Source organism: Homo sapiens, chromosome 2 (assembly GCF_000001405.40).
Source record: "Homo sapiens chromosome 2, GRCh38.p14 Primary Assembly".
Classification (NCBI taxonomy): domain Eukaryota; kingdom Metazoa; phylum Chordata; class Mammalia; order Primates; family Hominidae; genus Homo; species Homo sapiens.
Window position 1 is genome coordinate 44,282,485 of NC_000002.12, and position 26,953 is coordinate 44,309,437.

At 43.0% G+C, this 26,953-nt stretch overlaps 1 protein-coding gene across 2 annotated transcripts in view, besides 1 other annotated feature; it reads left to right on the top strand.

The window, feature by feature from the left end:
- Nucleotides 1–26,953, top strand: part of SLC3A1 (solute carrier family 3 member 1) — a 46,958-nt gene that overhangs the window by 7,005 nt on the left and 13,000 nt on the right. For both annotated transcript variants that reach the window (XM_011533047.4, NM_000341.4), the window contains exons 4-7: nucleotides 3,548–3,673; nucleotides 17,487–17,606; nucleotides 18,519–18,643; nucleotides 21,659–21,854. In XM_011533047.4, coding sequence (XP_011531349.1) covers nucleotides 3,548–3,673; nucleotides 17,487–17,606; nucleotides 18,519–18,643; nucleotides 21,659–21,854 — 567 coding nt within the window. The remainder of the gene's footprint in view (nucleotides 1–3,547; nucleotides 3,674–17,486; nucleotides 17,607–18,518; nucleotides 18,644–21,658; nucleotides 21,855–26,953) is intronic.
- Nucleotides 4,200–4,755: an enhancer, noted in NCBI's record as "H3K4me1 hESC enhancer chr2:44513823-44514378 (GRCh37/hg19 assembly coordinates)". NCBI's record gives its function as "activates a minimal SCP1, AML or CMV promoter by ChIP-STARR-seq in naive H9 embryonic stem cells {active_cell/tissue: H9 hESC(naive)}" and the evidence as "EXISTENCE:reporter gene assay evidence [ECO:0000049][PMID:30033119]".

A 26,953-nucleotide genomic window follows, 5' to 3' on the forward strand; every position in this document is an offset into this window, starting at 1 on the left:
CTTCCTACTCACTCCTTTTACAACAGAAGCCAGATCCCTCCTTTCTGGGGTGACCAGATTTAGCAAATAAAAATTCAGAATGCCCAGTTAAATCTGAATTTTGGACAAGCAGTGCATAAAAAATTTTTTAGTGTGGACCATACTTTCTTTTTTATTTTTATTTTTCAGAGACAGGGTCTTGCTCTTTCTCCCAGGCTGGAGTGCAGTGGCTTGATCATGGCTTACTGCAGTGGCTTGATCATGGCTCACCGCAGTCTTTGCCTCCTGGGCTCAAGCAATCCTCCCAGCTATTCCTCCCAAGTAGCTGGGACCACAAATGTGTGCCACCATGCCCAGCTAATATTTTATTTTTTTGTAAAGACAGGGCCTCACTCTGTTGTCCAGGCTGGTCTTGAACTCCTGGGCTCAAGTGATCCTCCCGCTTCGGCCTTGCAAAGTGCTGGGATTACAGGTGTAAGCCACTGTGCCCGGCCACATGAGTAATACTTATACTCAACAATATGCGTGTTGATCTGAATTCAGATGTAACTGGGCATCCTGCACTTCATCTGGCAGTTCTGCTTCTGTCTCAGGCCAGAGCTTCCCCTTGCCCGGGTTTGTGTTCTCTCCTGCCTTTATTCTGGATCATCCCTCCCTCCTCCAGTCCCTCCTTCTCTCTTCTGGACCTTCTCCATAAATATTTAAACATCAACTTTTAGGTGATCCAAGGACACTCAGAATTGATATATTTGCAGGTCAACTTTGTGATGTGTGATTTTCTCCCTATAACCTTCCGTCTCCCAGGTTCAGTGAATGGTACTACCATGCAGCCTGAGGAACAGGCTGTCAGCAAGTCCTGGCAGTTTCACCTCTTTTTTTCCTCCAGTTCACTGACTTGTTAAAATTGCAATGACATTAGCAAACATTTACAAAATACTTACTCTGTGCCAGGCTCTGTGCTAAGTGTTTTATATTCATTAATTTAGTTAATCCACTCTATAATCCTATGAGTCTGGTGTAATTCCTGTTTTGCAGATAGGCAGACTGAGGTTACTCAGCTAATAAATGACAGGGCTAAAGATGGGATCTAGTCATTTCAGCTCCATAGTCTGCTTTTAAAAATTGCTGCCATACTCAAACTATATCATTTCTTGCTTATAGAATGATCACAGCTGCCTTGTGATCCAGTTTTTCCATTGCTTTTTTAGTTCTCCACTATAGTCAAGGTTGCATTTTCTAATGTAATAGTTAATATGTTCAAAAATATGTATATGTATATGATGGATAAACACCTTGTAGTATATCATATATATAACCATATATTGCAAGACTTCGACTCTAAAAAAATTATTTTTTAGTTTCCTCTATTTTGAACTTTATGAAAAGTGTCATGCTAGGTATAGTCTTCTTAACTAACTTTTTCATGATTTATTCATGTAACTTCAGGTAGCTATGGTTCATACATTTTCATTGTTGTATATTTCACAGTGTGAACAATCCATGGTTTACTTATCCACTCTTCAGTTGATGGGAAGTTGGGCTACTTCCGTTTTTTTTATTATGAACAATGTTACTATAAACACTGTCATTAATCTATCTTGGGGTACATGTGCAAGGGCTTCTTTTTTTTATTTTTGAGATGGTCTTGCTCTGTCGCCCAGGCTGGACTGCAGTGGCGTGATCTTGGCTCACTGCAACCTCTGCCTCCTCAGTTCAAGCGATTCTCCTGCCTCAGCCTCTCAAGTAGCTGGAACTACAGGCACCCATCACCATGCCCACCTAATTTTTGTATCTTTAGTAGAGACAGGGTTTCACCATATTGGCCAGGCTGGTCTTGAACTCCTGACCTTGTGATCTGCCCACGTCGGCTTCCCAGAGTGCTAGGATTACAGGCGTGAGCCACCACGCCCAACCAAGGGCTTCTTTTAGGTAAATAACTAGGAGTAAAATTGCTGTGCAGGATATCGCATGCTCAGCTCTACAGGATAGTGTCAAATTCATTATCAAAATGGTTGTACCAATTTATATCCCCCACAGAAGTATAAAAAATACACATTCTCATTAATTCCTGATATTGCCCAACTTTGTAATTTTTATTTAAAAATTATTATTATTTTGTGTCAGGGTCTCATTCTGTCACCCAGGCTGAAGCATAGTGGCTCAATCATAGCTTACTGCAGTCTCGAGCTCCTAGGCTCAAGCAATCCTCGCCACCTCAGCCTCCTTAGTAGCTGGGACCACAGGCACACACCATCATGTGTGGCTGAGTTTTTTTATTTTTTTGTAAATATGGGCTCTCACTATGTTGCCCAAGCTGGTCTTGAACTTCTGGCCTCAAGCAGTCCTCCCGCTTCAGCTCTCAAAGTGCTGTGATTACTGGCATGAGCTACCATGCCCAGCCCAGACTTAAAACAATATTGCCTTGAGATCTTAATTTTATATTTATTTAATTACTAATGATGATGTGTCTAATTCCTAATACAGTAATTATCTAATTCCTAATGATGTTGAACATCTTTTCTTACATTTATTCATTTAAGTGTCCATTTCTGTGAAACACCTCTTTATGGTTTCTTTCCCCTACTTTCTTTTGAATTATTTATCCCTTTGAAATTGCTTTCTTCAGTTCCTTTTGTATTCTGGATACTGATTTTTTATTGTTTATGTACACTAAAAATCTCTTGCCCTGGTTGTGTCCAGGTGGGCTGTGTGTTGAATTGGAAAGGGTGCATGTCCTTGAAAGGCAGCAGCTACTACTCAGCATCTGCCTGTGTTGCCATGGACATGTGGACTCAGTGTAACTACGTCTTCCAACTCAAAAAGATTTATGTAAAATCTCCCAGTTGTTAAATGTTTTCCAGATGTTCTCTTTAACATGAAATGGACAAAAGGCCTAGGACAGAGCCCCATGAAACTCTCACATTCAAGGGCCCACAGCGTTGACTTAAGGAGTGGCCAGAGATGTGGGAGGGCAGCCGGGAGAGTCATACCATGGGGCCATAAATGTGAGCATTTCCAGACAGAGGAGACCAGCGACATCGTCAACTATTGCTGAGTACCAACACTTGAAGTTGCTTTTTATTCTTGGAGACTGGTAGAGATTTTAAGTGAAGGATTCTAATAATTTTCTGGGGATATAATTTAAATATTCAGTCTATCTGGGCTCAAGCTCCAAGATGAGCGGAATGTTTCTTTCTTCCAAATTGACTACCATTTTGCTTCTCTTCACAAACAAGAGTTTGGATCCTGGACAGAAGATTCAAGAAAATACATTAGTAATGTCAGTTCCTTAAGTTGACCTTGTCTTGGGTTTGAGAACATTGGTTTGCTGTTGCAGTTGTTACAAACAGCATCTACTGTAAAAATACGTTGCAACCATGTTTGTGAGGCATTAGGCCAATGGGGTGGGGGGTATTTGGAAGGGGTTTCTTTAACCTGCTGCTCTCTGTAGAAGGAAAACTCTCAGGATTTACATACTCTGCCTGCAAAGGATCAGGGAGGGCAATGATCTTTATTTGTGGGCAATACCATTATAGGTCACTGATGTGCTGTTTTCTTTGTTTGCCAGTTAAGTGTGTATGGAAACTCCAGTTGGCACTTTGACGAAGTGCGAAACCAATGTTATTTTCATCAGTTTATGAAAGAGCAACCTGATTTAAATTTCCGCAATCCTGATGTTCAAGAAGAAATAAAAGTGAGTATAGATACCCACACAGACTTCTCCATTAATGGAGGTTTAGGTATTTATTTAAAACACTTTATATTGCACAGTAATTGTGTAGGCAAAATCAAGTCTTTAATTATTTGAAATACTCTATAGTTATTTGAAACACTTTATATTGCACAATAATTGTGTAGGCAATAATCAAGCCTGAATTAAATCCCAGGATTAAGCTCTCTGGTGCAAATGTAGACTCTCAGACATGTCTGTGACTCCTTCCTTCATCTAACTCAGAGTACCCTAAATGGAAGGAGTCAGAAACACCTGCCACCCTAGCTCCAAGTTGCCCCGCCACCTGTGACAGTGAGCTGTACGGTGCCTGTGACGGTGAGCTGTGCGGTGCCTGTGACGGTGAGCTGTGCGGTGCCTGTGACGGTGAGCTGTGCGGTGCCTGTGACGGTGAGCTGTGCGGTGTCTGTGACGGTGAGCTGTGCGGTGTCTGTGACTGAGCTGTGCACTGTCTGTGACGGTGAGCTGTGCGGTGTCTGTGACGGTGAGCTGTGCGGTGCCTGTGACTGAGCTGTGCGGTGTCTGTGACTGAGCTGTGCAGTGCCTGTGACTGAGCTGTGCGGTGTCTGTGACGGTGAGCTGTGCGGTGCCTGTGACGGTGAGCTGTGCGGTGCCTGTGACGGTGAGCTGTGCGGTGCCTGTGATGGTGAGCTGTGCGGTGTCTGTGACAGTGAGCTGCTGCAGGGAGGTGGGTCATTTGGGGTCTGGCTCCTGCATCTAAAATGGGCTTCTTGATGGTTATTTGGCTTTCATGTCTTAGCTGTCTCATCTATGAAACACAGTTGGTGGCAATATTTGTCTCATAGGGCTGTTTGGAAGATTAGATGAGATAACACATGCACGACACTTCTGTACTCATTGAGTAAATATTAACATATTGCCTACTCCGTGCCAGGCCCTGTTCTAAGCACTGGGAATGCAGCAGTGAATAAAAGAAGCCTTACCCTCAAGGAGTCTCCAATATACTGAGGGGAAAGCAGGCAATTAGCCACTAAATATATATATGTTAGGTGGTGGTGAATGCCAAGGGGAAGGGGCATCGGAGTGTCAGGTAGAAGTGGCTCTTCTATATAAAGTGTGTAGGAGACACCTTCTTATGATGAGATGCTGTTTGGACAAAAACCTGAAGTGAGAAAGGAACCATGTGACTATCTGGGGGAAGAGAATTTCGGGCAGAAAGAAGAACAAATGGAAAGGTCCCGAGGTGAGAGTGTGGTTCATGTGTTTCAGGGATGGCATGGAGGCCAGAGTGTAGGGTTGCCAAACTTAGCAAAGAAAAATACAGGATGTCCAGTTAAATTTTAAATGAATGATGCAACATTTGAGACATACTGCTACCAAAAAATTGTTCATTGATTACCTGAAATTGAAATGTAATTGAGTGTCTTGTATTTTATCTGGCAACCCTACCAGTATGCTGGAGTGAAATGGGTTAGGGCGCTGAAGTAAGAGGTGGGGGCTGATCATTTCTCACAATACAATTCACAAAACATATCAGCTATGTTCTTGTTCTTGTTCTTGCTGCTCCTATGGCTACAGTGGGCAGAAACTTAGGGGAGTAGGGGAGTCCTCTGAGCCAAGTAGGTGGGAAGGAGACCCTAACAGAACGGGGAGCATTGGGTGCCTTTCCACAGCTCACCACGTCAGCCAGATAGAGTGGATGCAAGCTGTCATGCTGGAGTCACTAGGGGCACCTAGAACCCTTGGTTTAGTTTAATTTTGAAATAACAGTTTAATTGACATATAATTCACATACCATAAAATTCACCCCTTTTGAGTGTGTAATTCAGTGGTTTTAGTATCTTCACAGAGTTTCACAATCACTACTAATTTCTGAACTTTTTTTTTTTTTTTGAGACAGTCTTGCTCTGTCGCCCAGGCTGGAGTGTAGTGGCATGATCTTGGCTCACTGCAACTTGTGCCTCCCAGGTTCAAGCGATTCTCCTGCCTCAGCCTCCGAGTAGCTGGGACTACAGGCATGTACCACCATGCCCGGCTAATTTTTGTATTTTTGTAGAGACAGGGTTTTGCCATGTTGGCCAGGCTGGTCTCAAACTCCTGGCCTCAAATGATCCACCCGTCTCAGCTTCCCAAAATGCTGGGATTACAGGTATGAGCCACTGCACCTGGCCTAATTTCAGAACACTTTTATCTTCTCAAAAAGAAACCCCATATCCATCAACAGTCACTCCTTATGGCCCCCTCCCTTTCTTCCCCCACCCCCTGGGAAACCACAAATCTACTTTCTATCTTTTTACCCACCTAAGCCTCAGTTAGATAGGTTTTGCCTATTCTGGACACTTTGTACAACAGAATCATGCTGTATCTGTATATCCCTGGTAGGTGTCTGTATCTGTGTTTATTTGAGAAACTGCCAAGTTGTTTTTCAAAGCAGCTGCATAATTTTACATTTCCATTAACAATGGGTAAGCGTTCTAATTTCTCCACATTCTCACCAACACTTGTTATTGCATATATTTTTTATTACAGTCACCCTAGTGGGTATGAAGTGGCATCTCACTGGTTGTATTTGCCAAATGGCTAAAGACGTTGAACATCTTTTTATGTGCTTATAGTTCATTTGTATATCTGCATTGTAGAAATGTCTATTTAAATCCTTTGCCCATTTTTATTTCATTTTTATTTATTTATTTTTTTTGAGATAGAGTTTCACTCTGTCACCCAGGCTGGAGTGCAGTGGTGCAGTCTCGGCTCACTGCAACCCCAGTCTCCCAGGCTCAAGTGATTCTTGCGCCTCAGCTTCCTGAGTACCTGGGACTATAGGCACGTGCCACCATGCCCAACTAATTTTTGTATTTTTTGTAGAGATGGGGTTTCTCCATGTTGGCCAGGCTGGTCTCGAGCTCCTGGTCTCAAGCAATCCTCCCTCCTTGGCCTCCCACAGTGCTGGGATTACAGGTGTGAGCCACCGCACCTGGCCCTTTGCCCATTGTTAAACAGGGTTGTCTTTTTATTATTGGGTTGTAAAAGTTCTTACATATTCTTTTTCTTTTTCTTTTTTTCTTTTTTTTTTTGAGACAGGGTCTCACTCTGTTACCCAGGCTGGAGTGCAGTGGCGTGATCTCGGCTCACTGCAACCTCCACCTCCTGGGTTCAAGTGACTCTCCTACCTCAGCCACCCAAGTAGCTGAGATTACAGGTGCGCATCACCATACCTGGCAAATTTTTGTATTTTTAGTAGAGACGGGGTTTCACCATGTTGGCCAGGCTGGTCTCGAACTCGTGGTCTCAAGCAATCCTCCTGCCTCAGCCTCCCAAAGTGCTGGGATTATAGGCATGAGCCACCACACCTGGCCTCTTTTCATATTCTTGATACATGATTTACAAATAATTTTTCCTATTCTGTTGGTTGTCTTTTTACTTTCTTGATGGTGCCTTTTGAAGCACAAGCGTTTTTAATTTTGATGATGTCCTATTTATTTATTTGTTTTTTGAGACAGAGTTATGCTCTTGTTACCCAGGCTGGGGTGCAGTGGCGCAATCTCAGCTCACTGCAACCTCCGCCTCCTGGGTTCAAGTGATTTTCCTGCTGCAGCCTCCTGAGTAGCTGGGATTATAGGTGCGCACCACCATGCCCAGCTAATTTTTTGTATTTTTAGTAGAGACGCGTTTTATCATGTTGGCTAGGCTGGTCTCGAACTCCTGACCTCAGGTGATCCACCCGCCTCGGCCTCCCAAAGTGCAGGGATTACAGGCATGAGCCACTGCGCCTGGCCCAATTTATTTATTTTTTTCTTTTGTTGCTTGTGCCTTTAGTGTCGTATCTAAGAACCATTGCTTAATCCAAGGTCATGAAGATTTACTCCTATGTTTTCTTCTCAGTTTCACAGTTTTAGTCTTACATTTTAGATTGTCTGTGATCCATTTTTTGTTAATTTTTATATAGGGTGTGAAGGTAAGCTGTCCGACTTTTTTTTTTTTTTTTTGCATGTGGCTATTCAGTTATTCCAATCACGTATGTTTAAAAATACTATTCTTTCCCTACTGAATTGTCTGGCAACTTTTGTTGAAAATCAATTGACCATAAATGCATGGGTTTATTTCTGGACTCTCAGTTCTGTTCCATTCATCTATATGTCTGTCCTTATGTCAGTACCACACACTGTCTGAATTACTAGCGCTTTGTAGTAAGTTTTGAAATCGGGAAGTGAGAATCCTACAACTTTGTTCTTTTTCAGTATTGTTTCACTATTCCAAGTCCTTTGGATTTCCATGTGAATTTCTGAGTCAGCTTGACAATGTTTGCAAAGAAGCCTGCTGTGGTTTTGATAGGGATTGCATTGAATCTGTGGTTCACTCTGGGGAACATAGCCATCTTATGTTAAGTCTTCCAATTCATGAACATGAGATGTCTTTCCATTTATTTACGTGTTCTTTCATTTCTTTCAACAATGTTTTGCAGTTCTCAGAGTACATGTCTTGTACTTCTTTCGTTAAATGTATTCCTATAGACTACTTATTTTTAAGACTTTTTTTTTTTTTACTGTATATGTTTGGTGTTTCCAGAATTTGTATGAATTGTTTTGGAATTGGTTCTGGAAGTAAGCACCATGAGTGAGGGCACCTTGCCTCCATGGGGTTGTGGGGTTGTGGGGTTGTGGGGTGGGTAGTTGTAGACATGGTCAGCAGACTAACTAGGGGTTAGTTTTAAACTTCTCTGGTAGCCTGTGGACTCTCCTCTTCTTCATCACCAAAACTCCTTATCACCCACGCCTCATGCTCTCCCCACACATTCTATGTGCTAAGTGCTGTTCCTGGATAATTTAATGCTCAGAATAAGCCTAATTTACGAGGTTTTGTGATCATTTTACAGAGAAGGAAATTGAGGCTTAGATAGGTAAAGTCACCATCCTTGGGAGTCATGGAGCAGGACTGAAATCCAGACACTCGGACTTGAGTTCATGCTCTTAACCACAATCCTACACCTGCTTTGAGGCAATGTATGTGTTTCCCTCTCCATGCTTCACTTTTTCTGCACAGATTTGTCAAGGAGGTTTTCAGTTATAAATTGATAAATGTGAGTATAAACCAGCTGGTTTACAGTTGGTTTATCAGGCAGTAGATTTTTCCAGGCTCCTTGTGGCAATAGTGATGAATTGTCTGGGGATGTTTAGACAAGTGTGATAAATTCTGCAAAAATGTGCCAGCCAATACATTAATTATTTTTTTGACTAACCCAGCTGTGCTCTTCCAGATACCCAAGCCGTGGAGTGTGTGGACAGGATCCTTATTTACTGGTCTTCTGGCTGAAATCCCTCATGTGATGAATCATTAATGCCTCCGGTTGAGAGATTAGACTTTATTTGCAAGACTGGTTTAGAAGATTTACTATTAGAAGTAAATAAGAAATGCTGAGAAGCTGAGAGGAAAGCCTCTTTGCTCCTGGAAAGGGACCTTTGGCATGAAGGAGACTTCTGTCACCCTCCTCCCCACCTTACCCCCAGCAGCGCTTGTTTCTGCAATAGAGTTAAGCAGGTTAATAATTTGCAGCTCAGAGGGTTTGTGTGGAGGCGGCGTTTGGAATGACTTGCTTGCATACCAACTTGTACTCCTGGAGCCTGAGCCCACTTCCTCCCCGCTCCTATCAGATTTTGCTTTATCTGCACAGTGGGAAGCTGGCATGCTGGGGAAATCCAGCAGAGAGCACCCTCTGCTGTCCTTCTCTTTCTCCTCCTCTTTGTACTGGCCATCAGGGGACTTGGCTCTGCTCTGAACCTCTTGGGGCTTGAGTGCTTTCAGCTGAAGAAGTCAGAAAACCTTCTCTGAGGTATCAGGGGTATATATTTGTATAATACTTTATACTTTCCCAATCACTTTGGTTTTTACTGGTCCTCCACATTTCTTATTTGACAAATGAGGAAACTGAGACACAGAGAGGTGAAGTAACCCAGCGGGTTAGCAGCATGGCAAGGAAGAGACTCCAGATGGCCTGGCCTCGTATCTGGGGTTTGGAGTGATCCTACACCTGCCATATGGGAATGCTGAGCCCCAGGGTAGGGACTGCTGGGGAGACCCAGCTGAGAGGGAACCCAGAGCACAGGCGTAGGCTCCGTTCTGTCCCTACTAAGCATGATACTGCTGGAGGCAGCAGCTCAATTCAAAACACAATTCGCTCACTACCTGCTTGATTAGCCATCTCTATGCTTGATAATAATAATTGTGCCATTTATTGCACCTCCTCTATGCCAGGCACTTTATTATAATCATTCACTCATTTAATGATAGGTATTGTGTGTCTTGACCATGTGCTAAGGGTGTGGGGGCTGGTAAGATAGATACCTCTTGTGGCCATCCTGGGGCTTATATTCTGGGGTGGGAGGTGGACAATTAAACAGGCGATTACAATAAAATGTGCCAAGCGGTCATGACAGTAGGAGGTAGGAATACACAGGGCAAGCGCCTAACCTGGACACATTTGCAGAGGAGGTGAGATACCTGAGGAACAGGCATGAGCTAAGTGAAGAGGCATGGGTGGGAGTGTTTCCAGCAGAGGAAAGCGTGGATCGTGACACATTAGAGGTGCTGGGAGTTGTCCAGTATCACTGGGATGTGATATATAGAGCAGGGAGTGACCCGATGAGACTAGAGAGGTCACTGGGGGTGAGGTCAGGAGCACCACTGAAGGCCCTGGTAAGGATTTGGGCTTAAAAGGTCTTAGGTATTTATTTTTTATTTTTATTTTTTTTCAATTTGAGAAATCAGTCTGGTTTTGGAGAAGGGGTTTGAGTAGGGCAGGTTTGGAGGCTTTGGGGCCAGGGAGGAGGATGGTGCAGTAATCGGGAAAGAAATTCTGGTGGCTTTAGGCCAGTGATGGAGGCATAGAGGTGCAGAGAAATCATCAGGGCTCTGAGAGGAGTCCCCTGTGAATCCCAGGTTTCAGATTTGAATATGGGGTGGGTGGCAGAACCATTGTCTGAGATGGGAGACACAGGAAGAGAGAGGGAAATATCTTAGGTATGTAGAGTTGGAGCTGCCTGTGACACATCCAAGTGTTCAGTGGACAGTTAGATATAAGGACACTGGGCTGGGCACAGTGGCTTATGCCTGTAATCCCAGCACTTTGGGAGGCTGAGGCAGGTGGATCACATGGTCAGGAGTTCAAGACCAGCCTGGCCAACATGGTGAAACCCCATCTCTCCTAAAAATACAAAAATTAGCCAGGCATGGTGGTGGGCACCTGTAATCCCAACTACTTGGGACGCTGAGGCAGGAGAATTGCTTGAGCCCATGAGGCAGAGGTTGCAGTGAGCCGAGATCATGCCACTGCACTCCAGCCTGGGCAACAGAGCAAGACACCGTTTTAGGGGGGAAAAAAAAAAGATATAAGGACACGGAGCTCAGGGAAAAGTCTAGTCTAGAGATAAAACTTTGGGACTTGTTGATGTGGCTGATGTCTACAGAGCTCAGGCAGGTGTTTGGTGAGAGAAGCAGGCTGGGTAAGGTGAGCAAGAGGGCCAACTGCAACGTAGCTGGAGCGAATTGCTCACATGTGAATGAGGGCCTGGTGTTGGTAGACCTTCCAATTAAAAGAAAAATCCAAGGGAGCCAGGCTAGCAAATAAGTCAGGGCGCCGTACAGTTGCAATTCTGCTGCCACCACTTACCAACCATGACCTTGTCAAAGGCACATCATCTTCCTGAGCCACAGTTTCCTCACTGGTAAAGGGGGAACAATAATGGTACGTACCTAATGGGGTTACTTGAAGATTAAATGGTTTAACCTTTGTAAAGCACTTAGGATGCTATTTTTTTTACTGTATACAGTACTTGTTAAATAGTCAGTAAATTGGTAAGTAAATAAATACTATTGTGAAGTGCAATGTCGAGAGGGTGTAAGATGGAGCCCCAAGGAGCACTGACATCAAAGAGCTGCAGAAGAGACAGAGAAGGGAGACAAACCAAGGGGCAGGGTATAACGGAGCTAAGGTATCTGAGTGTTTCCAGAAGACGAGATTGGTCAACAGTGTCAAATGATGCAGAGAGATTGGGTAATATAAAGACTGAAAGGGGTCTGGGCGTGGTGGCTCATGCCTGTAATCTCAGCACTTTGGGAGGCTGAGGTGGGTGGATCACTTGAGGTCAGGAGTTCGAGATGAGCCTGGTCAACATGGTGAAACTCCATCTCTACTAAAAATACAAAAATTAGCCAGATGTGGTGACGGGCACCTGTAATCCCAGCTACTCAGGAGGCTGAGGCAGGAGAATTGCTTGAACCCGGGAGGCAAAGGTTGCAGAGCTGAGATCACACCACTGTACGCCAGCCTGGGTGACAGAGTGAGACTCCATCTCAAAAAAAAAAAAAAAAAATTGAAAAGTCAATTGACTCTGGCAGCAATACCTTATTTACTCCATACAGAAACCCTCCATACTATGTTATTGATGGAGACACTGAGGCTTAGCTGGTCTTGCAGATGCCCTATGTCATGCAGCTGGACAGCGAGAGAGCTGGGTTGTACCCAGAGGGTCAAATTCTGAAGTCCTTGATCTTTCCTCTACTTCCTGCTTCTGGAGGAGTTAGCAAAGAATTTTTCCAAGATTTCTGAACATGAGTAGGGTCAGTTTTCTTTCTCTTGCCTCTAAGTAGAGAACCAGTTTCCTCTGTACTCTGAAACATCCTTTCTCATTCCTTCTTGAGATGGACAACCTGTGATTTATGACATTTTCAAGATGATGTCTTCTGTTTGTTTTTTTGGTTTGTTTTTGTTTTCTTAATAGAGACAGGGTCTCACTTTGTTGCCCAGGCTGGTCTTGAACTCCTGAGCTTAAGTGATCCTCCCACCTCGGTCTCTGAAAGTGCTAGGATTACAGGCATGAGCCACCACACCTGGCTTAAGAGGATGTCTTCTCTATCATCCCATGTAAGAGTAGACAGAGCTTTTCCCAAACATGGGTTTTTAGGTAAACGGGCCCCCAAATGTCAGCCATCTGAAAAGGAAAGGCTTGGCTCAAGGTTCCATGTATTTGGATATGTTAACTTGCTTCCTTAATGTTGACTTGCTTTCTTTTCACTCAGAGCAGCGAGCTATTTAAAGAGAAAGGAGTTAAAAGGTGCCCAGTGGAAAAACCAGGAGTGCGTGATGTCATGGGAGTCAGACAGGAGTCAAGGACGTAGTGTATAGTCCAGTTCCCAGAGTCCACGGCACCTACATGGGTCACTAGACCTAGCTGACCCAGGCTCTGTGCCCATTTTTGCATCTGGAACCCTGAGAGACCTTCATGGGAGTAAAGAGGGTTAACAATTAAAATCTGAAGCTCTCTTTTCCCTCCTGGTTGAGAGAATAAATAGCATGAAGCAAATATTTTTCAAGAGCAAACTTTGGATTATCTTGGTGATAATCTGAATTATCAGCATTTAAAATGACTTTCAGAAAATGTCCATCAAGCTTTTACTGTTTTGTCTCATTAAACAATGATATTATTTCTGATTATGCTAGGGCCATAAACCTTCTGTGCGGTACAAGTTTCTCATGTTTAATGTCAGGTCAACATTTCACAATGCTGAGATCCGGACTCCGTAAAGAAAAGGACTGGCTTTATTTTAGGAAATCAGTGCCCAAAAGCTTGATGTTTACACAGAATGGTGCTTAATGTTTTCCCACATTTTTGTCAGAGGCCGCTTGGATGCCTTCAGTTATTCGTGCTCTGCCCCAACCAATGTTCACACTTTTAAAGAACAGCACCACCTGGGTGTGGACCCAGGTTGCGCGGGGTCTGAAGCTGATAGTAAATTAGGGCCTTCTTAAAATAGAGCACAAAATTAAGTACAGAAAAGTTGGTATTTACTTAAAATGAGCAAAGAAGGGGAGTTAGATGAGTGCAAGTGAGAGGTCTTGAAGCTTAAGTTTGGTTAGCTTCATAGTAAGGTCACTCCTGAAGCCACTGAAAACCTGTTCTAGAAATGAGGTGCCTTTCTTTGCCCCACCAGACTTCTCTAGCCCATTCTCTGATGAATGGCTGTCACTTCCTGTTTGCCAGCTGCAAACCCTCCCCAGGGTGAATTGCTGTTTTACCCTCTTGTATTACCATGTTTCTCTCCTTTGTCTCAGCTGTGATTTAAATATTTTTGTGTTGCTATTTGTCTAGCTGGAGATTCTAAAATAATCCGGGAGACCTAGGACTGTGTCTGTTGTATTTTTCTTGTGGTTGTAGTTCCAGGGCTTGCCTAAGTGCCTGGTATACACTAGGAGTTCAAATACTTATTGAATGAATGAATTTGGTAAAAGATAAAGGCACTAGTAAGAACAAATTTGTTTTTTATGCCCCAGAGAAAAATTCCACTGGGTAGAGATTACTGGAGGTTATTTGGGTCACCTGTGCCCATGATAAGAGTTATTCACCCCAGAACTTGCTCTTAGGCATAAAAAATTGATTCAAGCTTCACCATTCAAAATCTCAGCTTAAAGTGAATTGACAGGAGCAGTATTAACCCTTGCATTTAGCTGTTGAGACCCTTGACTTGACTTGAAACCTCCATATTCACGTGCAGATAGAAACGCACTTCAAGTCAAACAAGTTGATATGGTTTGGCTGTGTCCTCACCCCAGTCTCATCTTGAATTGTAATTCTCATAATCCCCATGTGTTGTGGGGTGGAGCAGGTGGAGATAATTGAATCATGGGTGTGGTTTCCTCCATCCTGTTCTCGTGATAGTGAGTTCTGATGGTTTTATAAGTGGGAGTTCTTCTGCACAAACTCTCTCGCCTGCTGTCATGTAAGATGTGACTTTGCTCCTCATTCGCCTTCTGCCATGATTGTGAGGCCTCCCCAGCCCTGTGAAACTGTGAGTCAATTAAACAGCTTTACAAATTACCCAGTCTTAGATATGTCTCTATTAGCAGCATGAGAACAAACTCTAATACACAAGTGAACTGTGGGATAGTTGTCATTTGGGATCTGTGGCTCTGTTTCCCTCCATAGGTGAAAATTGGCTGTTTAGTACTTTACAGATGGTTCTGCTCTAAAATGATATATACATTCCTGTGAAACCTTCCATACAGCAAGGGATGAGAAAAGTAGGGAGAGCCACTGTTCCTTTGCAGAGCTTGTGAGCAGGTGCCGGAGCCGGAGCAGGCCTTGCTGGGAGAGGCTGGCTGTGGGGTTGAGGCAGGTAGCTGAGGCTCAGGACCTCTGCTTTTCACGGTCACCTGGTCCTCCCACCTGTCCCAGTACAGGCCAGCCTCTGCCTCCACACTTGGCTCATGTTGTCCCATTCCCACCCTCCATTGAAATCCCACCAGGTCATCTAGGTCAAGTTCAAGCTCTAGCTCTTCCTTCTCCTGCTGTGCCCACCCACATATTTTGAAATGTCTTGAAGCTCTTGCAGCCCTGTAGGCAGAGGTGTCTCCTCTCATGAGGACCTGCATTATTAGGTAACCATCCCTTGTCCCACATGTCCCCAACTGTTCTGTAGACCTGAAGCCAGGGAACATGCTGTACTTCTGTAATGTTTGGTCATTCAGGCTCAATATGTCATTCTTTCATGCTACAATTTGTTCACTAAGTACCAGGTGCTGTTTCAGAGGCCTACAGACATGTACCACCACACGCAGCTAATTTTTCATTTTTTGTAGAGACAGGGTTTTGTCATGTTGCCCGGCTGGTCTAGAACTCCTGGGCTCAAGCGATCCTCCCACCTCAGCCTCCTAAATTGCTGAGATTACAGGTGTGAGCCGTCACACCTGGCTAGAAAAATCTTTTCAAGGTTCATCCATGTCGTAGCATGTGTCAGCACATTGTTCCTTTCCATGGCCAAATATTCATCGTATGGATAGACCATTGGGTTGTTTCCACTTTCTGGCTATTATGAATAATGCTGCTATGAATATTTGTGAACAAGTTTTTGCGTGGACATAAGTTTTCATTTCTCTCGGGTATATACCTATGCGTGAAATTGCTGGGTCTTATGGTAACTTGATGTTTAACCTTTTGAGGAAATGCCATACTATACAGTTGATTCTTCATACATCAGATCTTTAAAAAAAATGTTAAGTCAGCCCACAGCCTTTTCTGATTAAAAATCCCTCCAGGGGTTTCCCATCACCCTCACAAAAATCCCAGATCTTTCCTGTTAACTACAAAGCTGAGCATGATGAGTTAGTTTTCTTTACCTCCTCCTACTCTTACTTATGCTCCTCTGGCCACACTGGCCACCCCCCTATCCCTGCCACTGCCTTTTTTTTTCTTGAAACAGGATCTCCTTCTGCCACCCAGGCTGGAGTGCAGTGGCATGATCTTGGCTCACTGCAACCTCCGATTTTTAGGTTCAAGCAATTCTCATGCTCAGCCTCCCAAGTAGCTGGGACTACAGGTGCATGGCTCCATGCCCAACTAATTTTTGTATGTTTAGTAGAGGCGGGGTTTTACCATGTTGGCCAGGCTGGTCACAAACTCCTGGCCTCAAGTGATCCACTTGCCTCGGCCTCCCAAAGTGCTGGGATTATAGGCGTGAGCCGCTGCGCCCGGACTAACCACTTATTTGCACCAGTCTTCATCTCTCTAATCTTTGGCTTCAGCATTAAAAATGCCTGGGAACAAGGCAGCCCACGATGATGCTCTCAGGAGCAGGTGAGGCAGGGGAGAGGCTGAGCAGGCAATGACTACCTTCTCTCTAGCAAGGTGTGTTGGAAGAGTAGGGCAGGAGAGGAGAGTGAGCCAGGGGCAGTCATACAATAATTGGGTTTCTAGCACACACCTTTGGAAGAAAGTCTGTCACCAAAGAATAAAATTAAATGTATGAGAACCTGGATTTTTAGCTTAACCATTTGTGTTTGGGATCAATTTATTTGTGAAATTAAAGCCAGTGGAATAATGTAGATTCCTTTTTTTTTTTTTTTTTTTTTTAAAAGACAGAGTTTTGCTCTTGTTGCCCAGGCTGGAGTGCAATGGCCCAATCTCGGCTCACCACAACTTCCACCTCCCGGGTTCAAGTGATTCTCCTGCCTCGGCCTCCCGAGTAGCTGGGATTATGGGCACCCGCCACCATGCCTGGCTACTTTTTGTATTTTTAGTAGAGACAGGGTTTCATCATGTTGGCCAGGCTGGTGTCAAACTCCTGACCTCAGGTGATCCGCCTGCCTCGGCCTCCCAGAGTGCTGGGATTACAGGCATGAGCCACTGTGCCCAGCCCATTTCATCTTTTATTATCTGAGTGTATTCAAGACAACACTAGTATCTGAGTTTTACCACAGGATCGTCACTATTCTTAGTTATTTACTTGGTTGATGGTTGATTCTATTTTTTTTCTGTGTGTTCCTTCCATATTACTCCTAGCAGGAGATCCTTTAATATCTAAGCACTTCACCTCTCATCTGCCTTCCTAGTAAGGAGTGAAATATTTAACTATTGAACAATGTGTTATTTTCTTTGAGTTTGCAGTGACAGTTAAGGAGTTGGGCATGAGGGAGATGAGAAACTTTCCTAGTTTATTCTGAGTCCTATCTTTTCTTATGGTTTCATTCTTTCATTTTTAGTAGACTCTCTAAACTTTGAAAACATCCTTATAACATCCATTACAAATGTAACTAATTGTAATTCTGAATTCACATATGAAGGAGGTGTGGGAGTCGCTAAATGCAGTTAGAGTGCATTTTAGTAAGACAGTTATGCTAAATAGATAAAAATAGACTGTGAATACTGTGCTTGTTCTGTATGTAGATATCTGTTTTATGATGCCAAGTTGTTAACAGTCAAAACTTTGATTAAACGTTGTGATAATAACGTAGTTAATGTAACCAAGCATTTTGCTTCTTCATCTTTAGGAAATTTTACGGTTCTGGCTCACAAAGGGTGTTGATGGTTTTAGTTTGGATGCTGTTAAATTCCTCCTAGAAGCAAAGCACCTGAGAGATGAGATCCAAGTAAATAAGACCCAAATCCCGGTAAAGTTTTATTTTAAACGTTTTTCTTTTGCCTTTTCTGAAAATGTCATCAGAGTGTTTTCTTTCTCAGCCTGAGATACCAGTTACAAAGATGAGTTTTGTCCTGTGTCTAGCAAGTACCCTGATTTATTTCTTTAGGAAATGTGCAAGAGTTTGAAATGCATATGCACTCGATGTTTTTTTCCACTGGTTCCCTCCAGAGCGAGGGATCCCTTGAGGAGTCCTTCAGTGACAAGGGTTCTGAAGACATGGACAGTGTGGGCTCTACCAAGGGCCACAAAATAGAGGACATTTACTCCTGCAATTTTATCATCTGACATAGGCTCAAGTGAGGAGGCCTTGGCTTGGATGAGATGTAATTTTTTGTTTTGATTCTAGGAGATTATTGTCATCCTAGAAAGACATAGAAATGAGACACTGACATAGAAATCCTACAAAGATACAGAAACTAGGAAAAATTTACTGAAACCCCGAGAAAGTATAACAGTTAGGAGAAAGGATAGTGATGGTAAAGAAACAAATTTAAGTGCATGATGTTAATAGTTTTGTGAGCAGATAAAGTATACATGTAATAATGAGCTCTATAACCACTAAGATCTTTTTTTTTGTTTTTAAAAGGGTCTGAAACATTTTGACAATTACGTGTTGAGAACTTTGTAATCAGTGTTTTGCTTGGTAAAATTTATTTGCTAAAATGGGTGACAGTTTATTAGAGAAATATTGCTTAGTAGATTTATAAAGTTAACAACTTGAGCATCAAATGAAGCATTCTTCTCCATCCACAAAACCATGTTTGAGTGTGCGTCTCGCTTGGCTTGAGCCCTTTGAAGAGGTTGTCTACATTCATATAGAGCGAGCTGTGGGCATGCAATGTATGAAATGAGGGTAACCATGTCGTCCTGGTTTTCAAAGGACACGGTCACACAATACTCGGAGCTGTACCATGACTTCACCACCACGCAGGTGGGAATGCACGACATTGTCCGCAGCTTCCGGCAGACCATGGACCAATACAGCACGGAGCCCGGCAGATACAGGTTGACCACGGCATATGCTCTCATTTCTTCCCAGGCTTAGTGTGTGATCTGCAGTGTATCCCTCACAACCAAGTGTATTTGGAGGTTCAAGTAATAATGTAACAAGCCTGCATAACTCTAATTGATTACAGTTTGGTTGTACCAGGGCCTGCCATATTCCTTTCCTGTTTGCTTATTTTGCTGACTTTCAGTTTCCTCTTTTGTAAAATGATGCAGATCACACTACGTACTTCACAGGAGTTTTGTGAAAATTAGGTTAATGAAAAAGAGATTATATTAGCTAAATGTTAGCCATGAGCTATTATTTTTTCTTTTTCAAAAACCAGTTCCAGGCCGGGCACAGTGGCTCACGCCTGTAAACCCAGCACTGTAGGAGGCCAAGGCAGGCGGATCACGAGGTCAGGAGTTTGAGACCAGCCTGGCCAACATGGTGAAACCCCATCTCTACTAAAAATACAAAAATTAGCTGGGTGTGGTGGTGGGTGCCTGTAATCCCAGCTACTTGGGAGGCTGAGGCAGGAGAATCACTTGAACCCGGGAAGCAGAGGTTGCAGCGAGTCAAGATTGCACCACTGCACTCCAGCCTGGGCGACAGAGCGAGACTCCATCACAAAAAAAAAAAAAAAAAAGAACCAAAAAAACAAAACCAGCTCCACCTGGGTGCGGTAGCTCATGCCTGTAATCCCAGCACTGTGTGAGGTCGAGGCTGGTGGATCACCTGACGGTGTTCGAGACCAGCCTGGGCAACATGGCGAAACCCCTCCTCTACTAGAACTACAAAAATGGGCAAGGTGGCACATGCCTGTAATACCAGCTACTCGGGAGGCTGAGGCAGGAGAATTGCTTGAACCGGGGAGGTGGAGGTTGCAGTGAGCTGAGATCATGCCACTGTGCTCCAGTCTGGGCAACAGAGCAATACTCCATCTCAAGAAAAAAATAAAAATACCAGCTCCTTCTCTGCAGTATTATTTTTATCATTGTTATTGGATCTATAGTTTCCTAGTACAGTATATAAATCCATATGTTTCAGCTAAAGTATCAGGAACACAGCTTTGGAATCAGGTAGGTCTGAAGGAGTCCTGCTCTGTAGCTGTGTGACCTAGGGCCAGTTAATTAACATAAGTCTCAGTTGTCTCATCAATAAAAAAGTGATAGCAATAACCTCTATAAGGCTGTTGTGAGATTAAATTAGATAATGTATATAAAGTAGTGCCTGGATCATAGTAAACACTCAATAAAATTACCCATCATTAAGTTTACATAGATCACTCAACAGAATCAATAGGAAGGAATTAAAGAAATTTCATCTCCTTAAAGTAGGTACTCCGATTACTCTGTCTCCATTTTATAGACAAGGAAACTGAGGCTCTGAGCATGTAAGTAATGTCCACAGGTAGGAGTGGCAGCTATGGGATTTGAACTGAAGCAGTTGGGCTCCAGAGACCATGCACTTATCCATAAATATGCTGCCTCAAATAGCTAAAGCCAGCATTGATCGGAGTCATTTCAGGTGAATGTGTCTTCCCCCAGGGTTTTGCTTTCAGCAATTGAGAGTGCACACCAATAATAAGGCAAGATGTTATAGGGACTCCAATACAAGGGGGAAGTTCTTTTGAAGAAAATACCCCACCTAATTTGCAGACATAAACTTTAGATTCTAAATGGAGTGATGAGAATTGCTAAAGAAAGTCTTCATGGATGTCAACGAGTTTTAGTGTCAGGATGTTACTGAATTTTGATTCTAGGAGATTATTTCTCCTAGGATTCTAGGTTTAGAAAGAAAAGAACAGGCTTGGTGCGGTGGCTCATGCCTGTAATCCCAATAGTTTGGGAGGCCAAGGCAGGCACATCATCAGAGGTCAGGAGTTTGAGACCAGCCTGGCCAACATGGTGAAACCCTGTGTCTACTAAAAACACAAAAAAATTAGCTGGGCGTGGTGGCGGGTGCCTGTAATCCTAGCTACTCGGGAGGCTGAGGCAGGAGAATCACTTGCACCTGGGAGGTGGAGGTTGCAGTAAGCCAAGATCATGCCATTGCACTCCAGCCTGGGCAATAAGAGTAAAACTCTGTCTCAAGAAACAATAACAAAAAAACAACCAATATAGACTGAGATCCAATTTTTTTTTTTTTTTTTAAAGACATTCTCACTTTGTTGCCCAGGCTGGAGTGTGGTGGCATGATCTCATCTCACTGCAACCTTCACCTCCCAAATTCAAGTGATTCTCCTGCCTTGGCCTTCCGAGTAGCTGGGATTACAGGCGCATATCACCACACCTAATTTTTGTATATTTGGTAGAGATGTTTCTCCACGTTGGCCAGGCTGGTCTCAAACTCCTGACCTCAAGTTATCCACCTGCCTCGGCCTCCCAAAGTGTTGGGATTACAGGTGTGAGCCACTGCACCTGGCACCCAAATGTGTTTCATTTTTTTTGGGGGGGGTGGATTTTTCTGCCTTATTTTTTATTATTATACTTTTAGTTCTGGGGTACATGTGTACAACATGCAGGTTTGTTACATAGGTATACATGTGCCATGTTGGTTTGCTGCACCCATCAACTTGTCATTTACATTAGGTATTTCTCCTAATGCTATCCTTCCCTTAGCCCCCCACCCACTGACAGGCCCCGGTGTGTGATGTTCCCTGCCCTGTGTCCATGTGTTCTCGTTATTCAACTCCCACCTATGAGTGAGAACATGCGGTGTTTGGTTTTCTGTCCTTGTGATAGTTTGCTTAGAATGATGGTTTCCAGCTTCATCCATGTCCCTGCAAAGGACATGGACTCATCCTTTTTTATGGCTGCATAGTATTCCATGGTGTGTATGTGCCACATTTTCTTAATCCAGTCTAACATTTGGTGACAGCTTGATTATGCTTTCTAGAAGGTGCTAGTCCTATATGGTTAATAGTGTGCATTCAGCCCCTACATCTTGTACATGCAAGATAAGCAGCTGTGGAGTGCCTTCCCAGTCTTCTGACAGGCCCCGATGACACTGAACCTTGTCAACTCTTATAGGTTCATGGGGACTGAAGCCTATGCAGAGAGTATTGACAGGACCGTGATGTACTATGGATTGCCATTTATCCAAGAAGCTGATTTTCCCTTCAACAATTACCTCAGCATGCTAGACACTGTTTCTGGGAACAGCGTGTATGAGGTTATCACATCCTGGATGGAAAACATGCCAGAAGGAAAATGGCCTAACTGGATGGTAAGTCCTCATGACAGCAGAGTACATAATGTGCTGCTGTTGCCTTTGCTGTCCAGTTATCTCTAAAATGCAATGGACCTTTGTCTCTAAGTGACCATCACCTCTGCCTTATTTGGTGATTGTTCAGTGGTCAGGCCTGTCACAGCCTCTGCCAGGTTCTTTTCATTAAGGGAGGGAGACTGCCCACTGAATGGAATGAATATTGAATGAGTGCTTGTCTATGCTCAGAACACTGCTAGGCTTTTTGGGGATGGATATCAAACCATAATTTCTCCCCACATATCTCAGAGTTTATGATGTCAATGGGAAGAAAGAGGATTTCGGGTGTAGAAGAGGTACACAGCAATTCAGGGCAACATAAAACTGTGACAAAACACCAATTTGTGGGGCAGGATGCACTGCAAAAAGCATTTAAACTACAGAGATTGTCGGAGAAAGAATTTCTCCCCCTTCTGTACTACACTCTTGAAAACAATTTTTTTTTTTTTTTTTTTTTTTTTTTGAGACAGGGGCTCACTCTGCACCCAGCCTGGAGTGCAATGGTGCAGTCATGGCTCACTGCAGCCTCGACCTCTGAGGCTCAAGCAATCCTCCCACCTCAGCCTCCTGAGTAGCTGGGACTACAGGTGCATGCCACCATGGCTGGCTAATTATTTTTGTTTTTGTATTTTTAGTAGGGAGGGAGTTTCACCATGTTGGCCAGGCTTGTCTTAAACTCCTGACCTCAGGTGATCTGCCTGCCCACCTTGGTCTCCCAAAGTGCTGGGAATACAGGCATGAGCTACCACGCCCAGCACTAACATTTTTCAAGACTGGCAATACATTACTTCAGTGAAGAACAGAAGATACAGCAATACATACCTGTGGTAACAGACCAGTATTCTCACTTCCACACCCATCAGGGTTGCTTTCCCTGATCTGATTTTTCTGTCTTTGGGTTTGAGTTAGAGGTCAATATTAGGCTCCTTCGTAAGATGTCTGTAGTATTATAGATGTAAGCCCTGCTGCTTCAAAGTCCCACGGTAATAGTGGTTTAAACAAAATGCAAGTTTCTTTCTCTCATATAAAAGACAACCTTTCTTTTCTTACTTTTTTTTTTTTTTTTTTTGAGACGGAGCCTCCCTCTGTTGCCCAGGCTGGAGTGCATGGCGTGATCTTGGCTTACTGCAACCTCCACCTCCTGGGTTCAAGCAATTTTTCTGCCTCAGCCTCCTGAGTAGCTGGGATTACAGGTGCACGCCACCATGCCTGGCTAATTTTTTTATTTTTAGTACAGACGGGGTTTTACCATGTTTGTCAGGCTGTTCTTGAACTCCTGACCTCGTGATCCACCCCCACCTCAGCCTCCCAAAAGTGCTGGGATTATGGGCATGAGCCACCACTCCTGGCCCTTCCTTTCTTTAATATATTATAAATGTAAACTCTAAAATGCCTCTTTAGTCTCGATAATCCTCCATCTCTCTGTATCTCTACCACCTTAGACTGTTTCTGTGGTCTCATCGTTTAGGTCTCAGGTAGGTGTCACCACAGGAAGCCTTCTGGAGCCCCCAAATGAGGTGTCAGGTCTACCTATTGTATACTATAGCACCCGTTCATTCTCTTTCCTTAAAGTCCACACAATTCCACGATGTCTGCTTTCCCCACTAGACAGTTCACTGGTTAAGGGCAGAGGCAGGTTCCCAGCATCCTTGCACGGTGCCCACCTCACACGGAGGTGCTCAGGCTCAGGGTTTGTTTGTTACTGGTGCTGTTGTTATTCGTATGCAGTTCAGCGACTTACCAAAGGTGTGCCTTATATATAGAGAGAGAGTTGCCTTACACTAGTCAATATCTTCTGTTGTACCCCCACAATACCTGTAGGTTTGATCTGGGCCCTGAAAAGTGGTATGATTTTGATACTTTTCGCACAGATCCTGCCAGCTATCTTACACAGCCTGATGAAAACCTGAAAGGATAAAGGAGAAAATGCAGCCTAGGCAGAAAAACACTGGCAGAATCTGTGAACCACAATTAAGCTTATTTCAATCTTTTCTGATGCTTTAATAGGCAGGAATGTGTGTTTCCATTGCCAGAGCCTTTCTCCGTCTGGTGAGGGGAAAGAGGCTCAAATTTTTAGGCATGGTAAAAGCTTTAATTTGTTAAATGTAAGTATTAAAACTATACAATTTTTAAATAACAGCTTTGTCGAGATATAATTCACATACCATAAAACTTTTTTTTTTTTTTTTTTTTTTGAGACGGAGTTTTGCTCGTTACCCAGGCTGGGGTGCAGTGGTGTGATCCCGGCTCACTTCAACCTCTGCCTCCTGGGTTCAAGTAATTCTCCTGCCTCAGCCTTTAGAGTAGCTGGGATTACAGGTGCCCACCACCACACCCAGCTAATTTTTTGTATTTTTAGTAGGGACACGGGGTTTCATCATGTTGGCCAGGCTGGTCTCGAACTCCTGACCTCAGGTGATCCACCCATCTTGGCCTCCCAAAGTGCTGGGATTACAGGTGTGAGCCACTGAGCCCAGCCAAAATTTACCGTTATTAAAGTATATAATTAAGTGGATTTTCGGTATATTCACAGAATTATGCAACCATCACCAATGTCTCATTCCAGAGCATTTTCATCACCCCCAAAATAAACCACATCTCCACTAGCAATAACTGCGCATGGCCCCTCCCTCTCTGTCCTCAGTCTCTGGCAACCACTCACCTACTTTCCGTGTCTATGGATTTGCCTATTCAGGGCATTTCATATAAATGGAGCTATACGATATGGGACTTTTGTGTCTAGCTTCTTTCACTTAACATAGTGTTTTCAAGGTTTATCCATGTTGTAGTATGTCTCAGTACATCGTTCCTTTTTATGGCTGAATAGTAACTTCCATAAAGCCCATTTTGTTTATCTGATCATGAATTGACAGAGATTTGTTTTCACTTTTGGACTATTACGAATAGTGATGCTATGGACATTTGTGTACAAGTTTTTATAAAAACATGTTTTCAATTCTCTCTGATATATATCCAGGAGTGGAATTGCTCCACTGGGCATATGGTAAGTCTACATTTAACTATTTGAGGAACTGCCAAACTGTTTTCCAAAGTAGTTACTCCATTTTACATTCCCACCAGCAATGTTACGAGGGTTCCAATTTTTCCACATCTCATCAAGCCTTGTGATGGTCTGCCTTTCTGATGATGGCCTTCCTACTGAGTGTCAAGTTGTTATCTCATTGCATTTTTTTTTTTTTTTTTGCATTTCCCTGATGGCTAATTTTGTTGAGGGTATTTTCATGTGCTTATTGGACATCTGCATGTCTTATTTGGAGTAATGTCTGTTCAGATTCTTTGCCTATAATTAAATTTGGTTGTCTTTTTATTGTTTAGTTGTAAGAATTCCTGATATATACTGGATAGGTGATTTGCAAGTATTTTCTCCCATTCTGTGGGCTTTCATGTCACTTTCTTGATAGTGTCCCTTGAAAAGCACAGAAGTTTTTAATTTTTATGAAGTCCAGTTGTTTTGTTGTTGTTGTTACTTGTACTTTTAGTGTTATATTAGAAACCATTGCCTGGTCTATTTATTCCAGCACCACATGCTAAAAAGACTATTCTTTGCTTCATTGGATTATCATGGAATCTTTGTTGAAAAATCAACTGATTGTAGGCTGGGCGTGGTGGCTCACATCTGAAATCCCAGCACTTTGGGAGGCTGAGGTGGGAGTTGAGCCCAGGAGTTCAAGTTTGCCTTGAGCCATGATTACACTCCAGGGTGAACTCCAGCCTGGGTGACAGAGTGAGACCCCGTCTCTAAATGTAAAACAAAACAAAAAAAAGAAAATCAGTTGATTAGATTTCCAGACTCTCAGTTCTGTTCATCTATATGTCTGTCTCTATGCCTGAACACCCTGAGTTGATTAGTGTAGCTTAGTAAGTTTTGACATAGAGAAGTATGGGTCCTCCAACTTTGTTATTTTTCAAGATTGTTTTAGCTGTTCTGGGTACCTTATATTTCCATGTGAATTTTAGGATTTCCATATAAATTTTAGAATAGCCAACTGGGATTTTGATAGGGATTGCATTGAATCTGTTTATCATTTTTGGCAATCATGCCATCTTGTCTTCTAATCCATGAAGACAGATGTATCTTATTTAGGTCTTTAATTTCTTTTGATGATGTTTTGTATTTTTCATTGTACAAGTCTTAGACTTTTTGTTCAGTTTATTCCTAAGTATTTTGTTCTTTTGATATTATTGTAAACTGAAGTGTTTGCTTAATTTCATTATTGGATTCTTCATTATTAGTGTATAGAAATACAATAGATTTGTGTATATTGATCTTGTATCCTAAAACATTGCTGAACTTGTTTTTCGTTTCTAATAGTTTATTGTGAATTCCTGAAGAATTTTTTTTTTTTTAATTTGAGGCAGAGTCTTGCTCTGTTGCCCAGGCTGGAGTGCAGTGGTGTGATCTCAGCTCATTGCAAGCTCCGCCTCCCGGGTTCATGCCATTCTCCTGTATCAGCCTCCCAAATAGCTGGGACTACAGGTGCCTGCCACCATGCCTGGCTAACTTCTTGTATTTTTAGTAGAGACGGGGTTTCACCGTGTTAGCCAAGATGGCCTCGGTCTCCTGACCTCATGATCTGCCTGCCTCAGCCTCCCAAAGTGCTGGGATTACAGGCGTGAGCTACTGTGCCTGGCCTTCTGAGGAATTTTTTGTTTTAAAATTATTGCAAAATATACATAAAACAATTTTAAACATTCAAAAGTGTGTAATTCAATGCATTAAATACATTCAAAATGTTGTACAACCATCACCATTATCAGTTTCTAGAACTTTTATCATCCCAAACAGAAAATCTGTACCCACTAAACAATAATTCCTCACTTCCACCACTAACCCCTGATATCCTCCATTCTATTTTCAGCCTCTATAAATTTGCCTATTCTAGGTACCTCATATAAGTGGAATCATAACAATATTTGTCCTTTTGTGTCTGCCTCATTTCACTTAGCTTAATGTTTTCAACTTTCCTTCATACATACAATAGCATGTATGAGATCTTACTCCTTCTTATGACTGAATAACATTCCATGGTACCTATGTA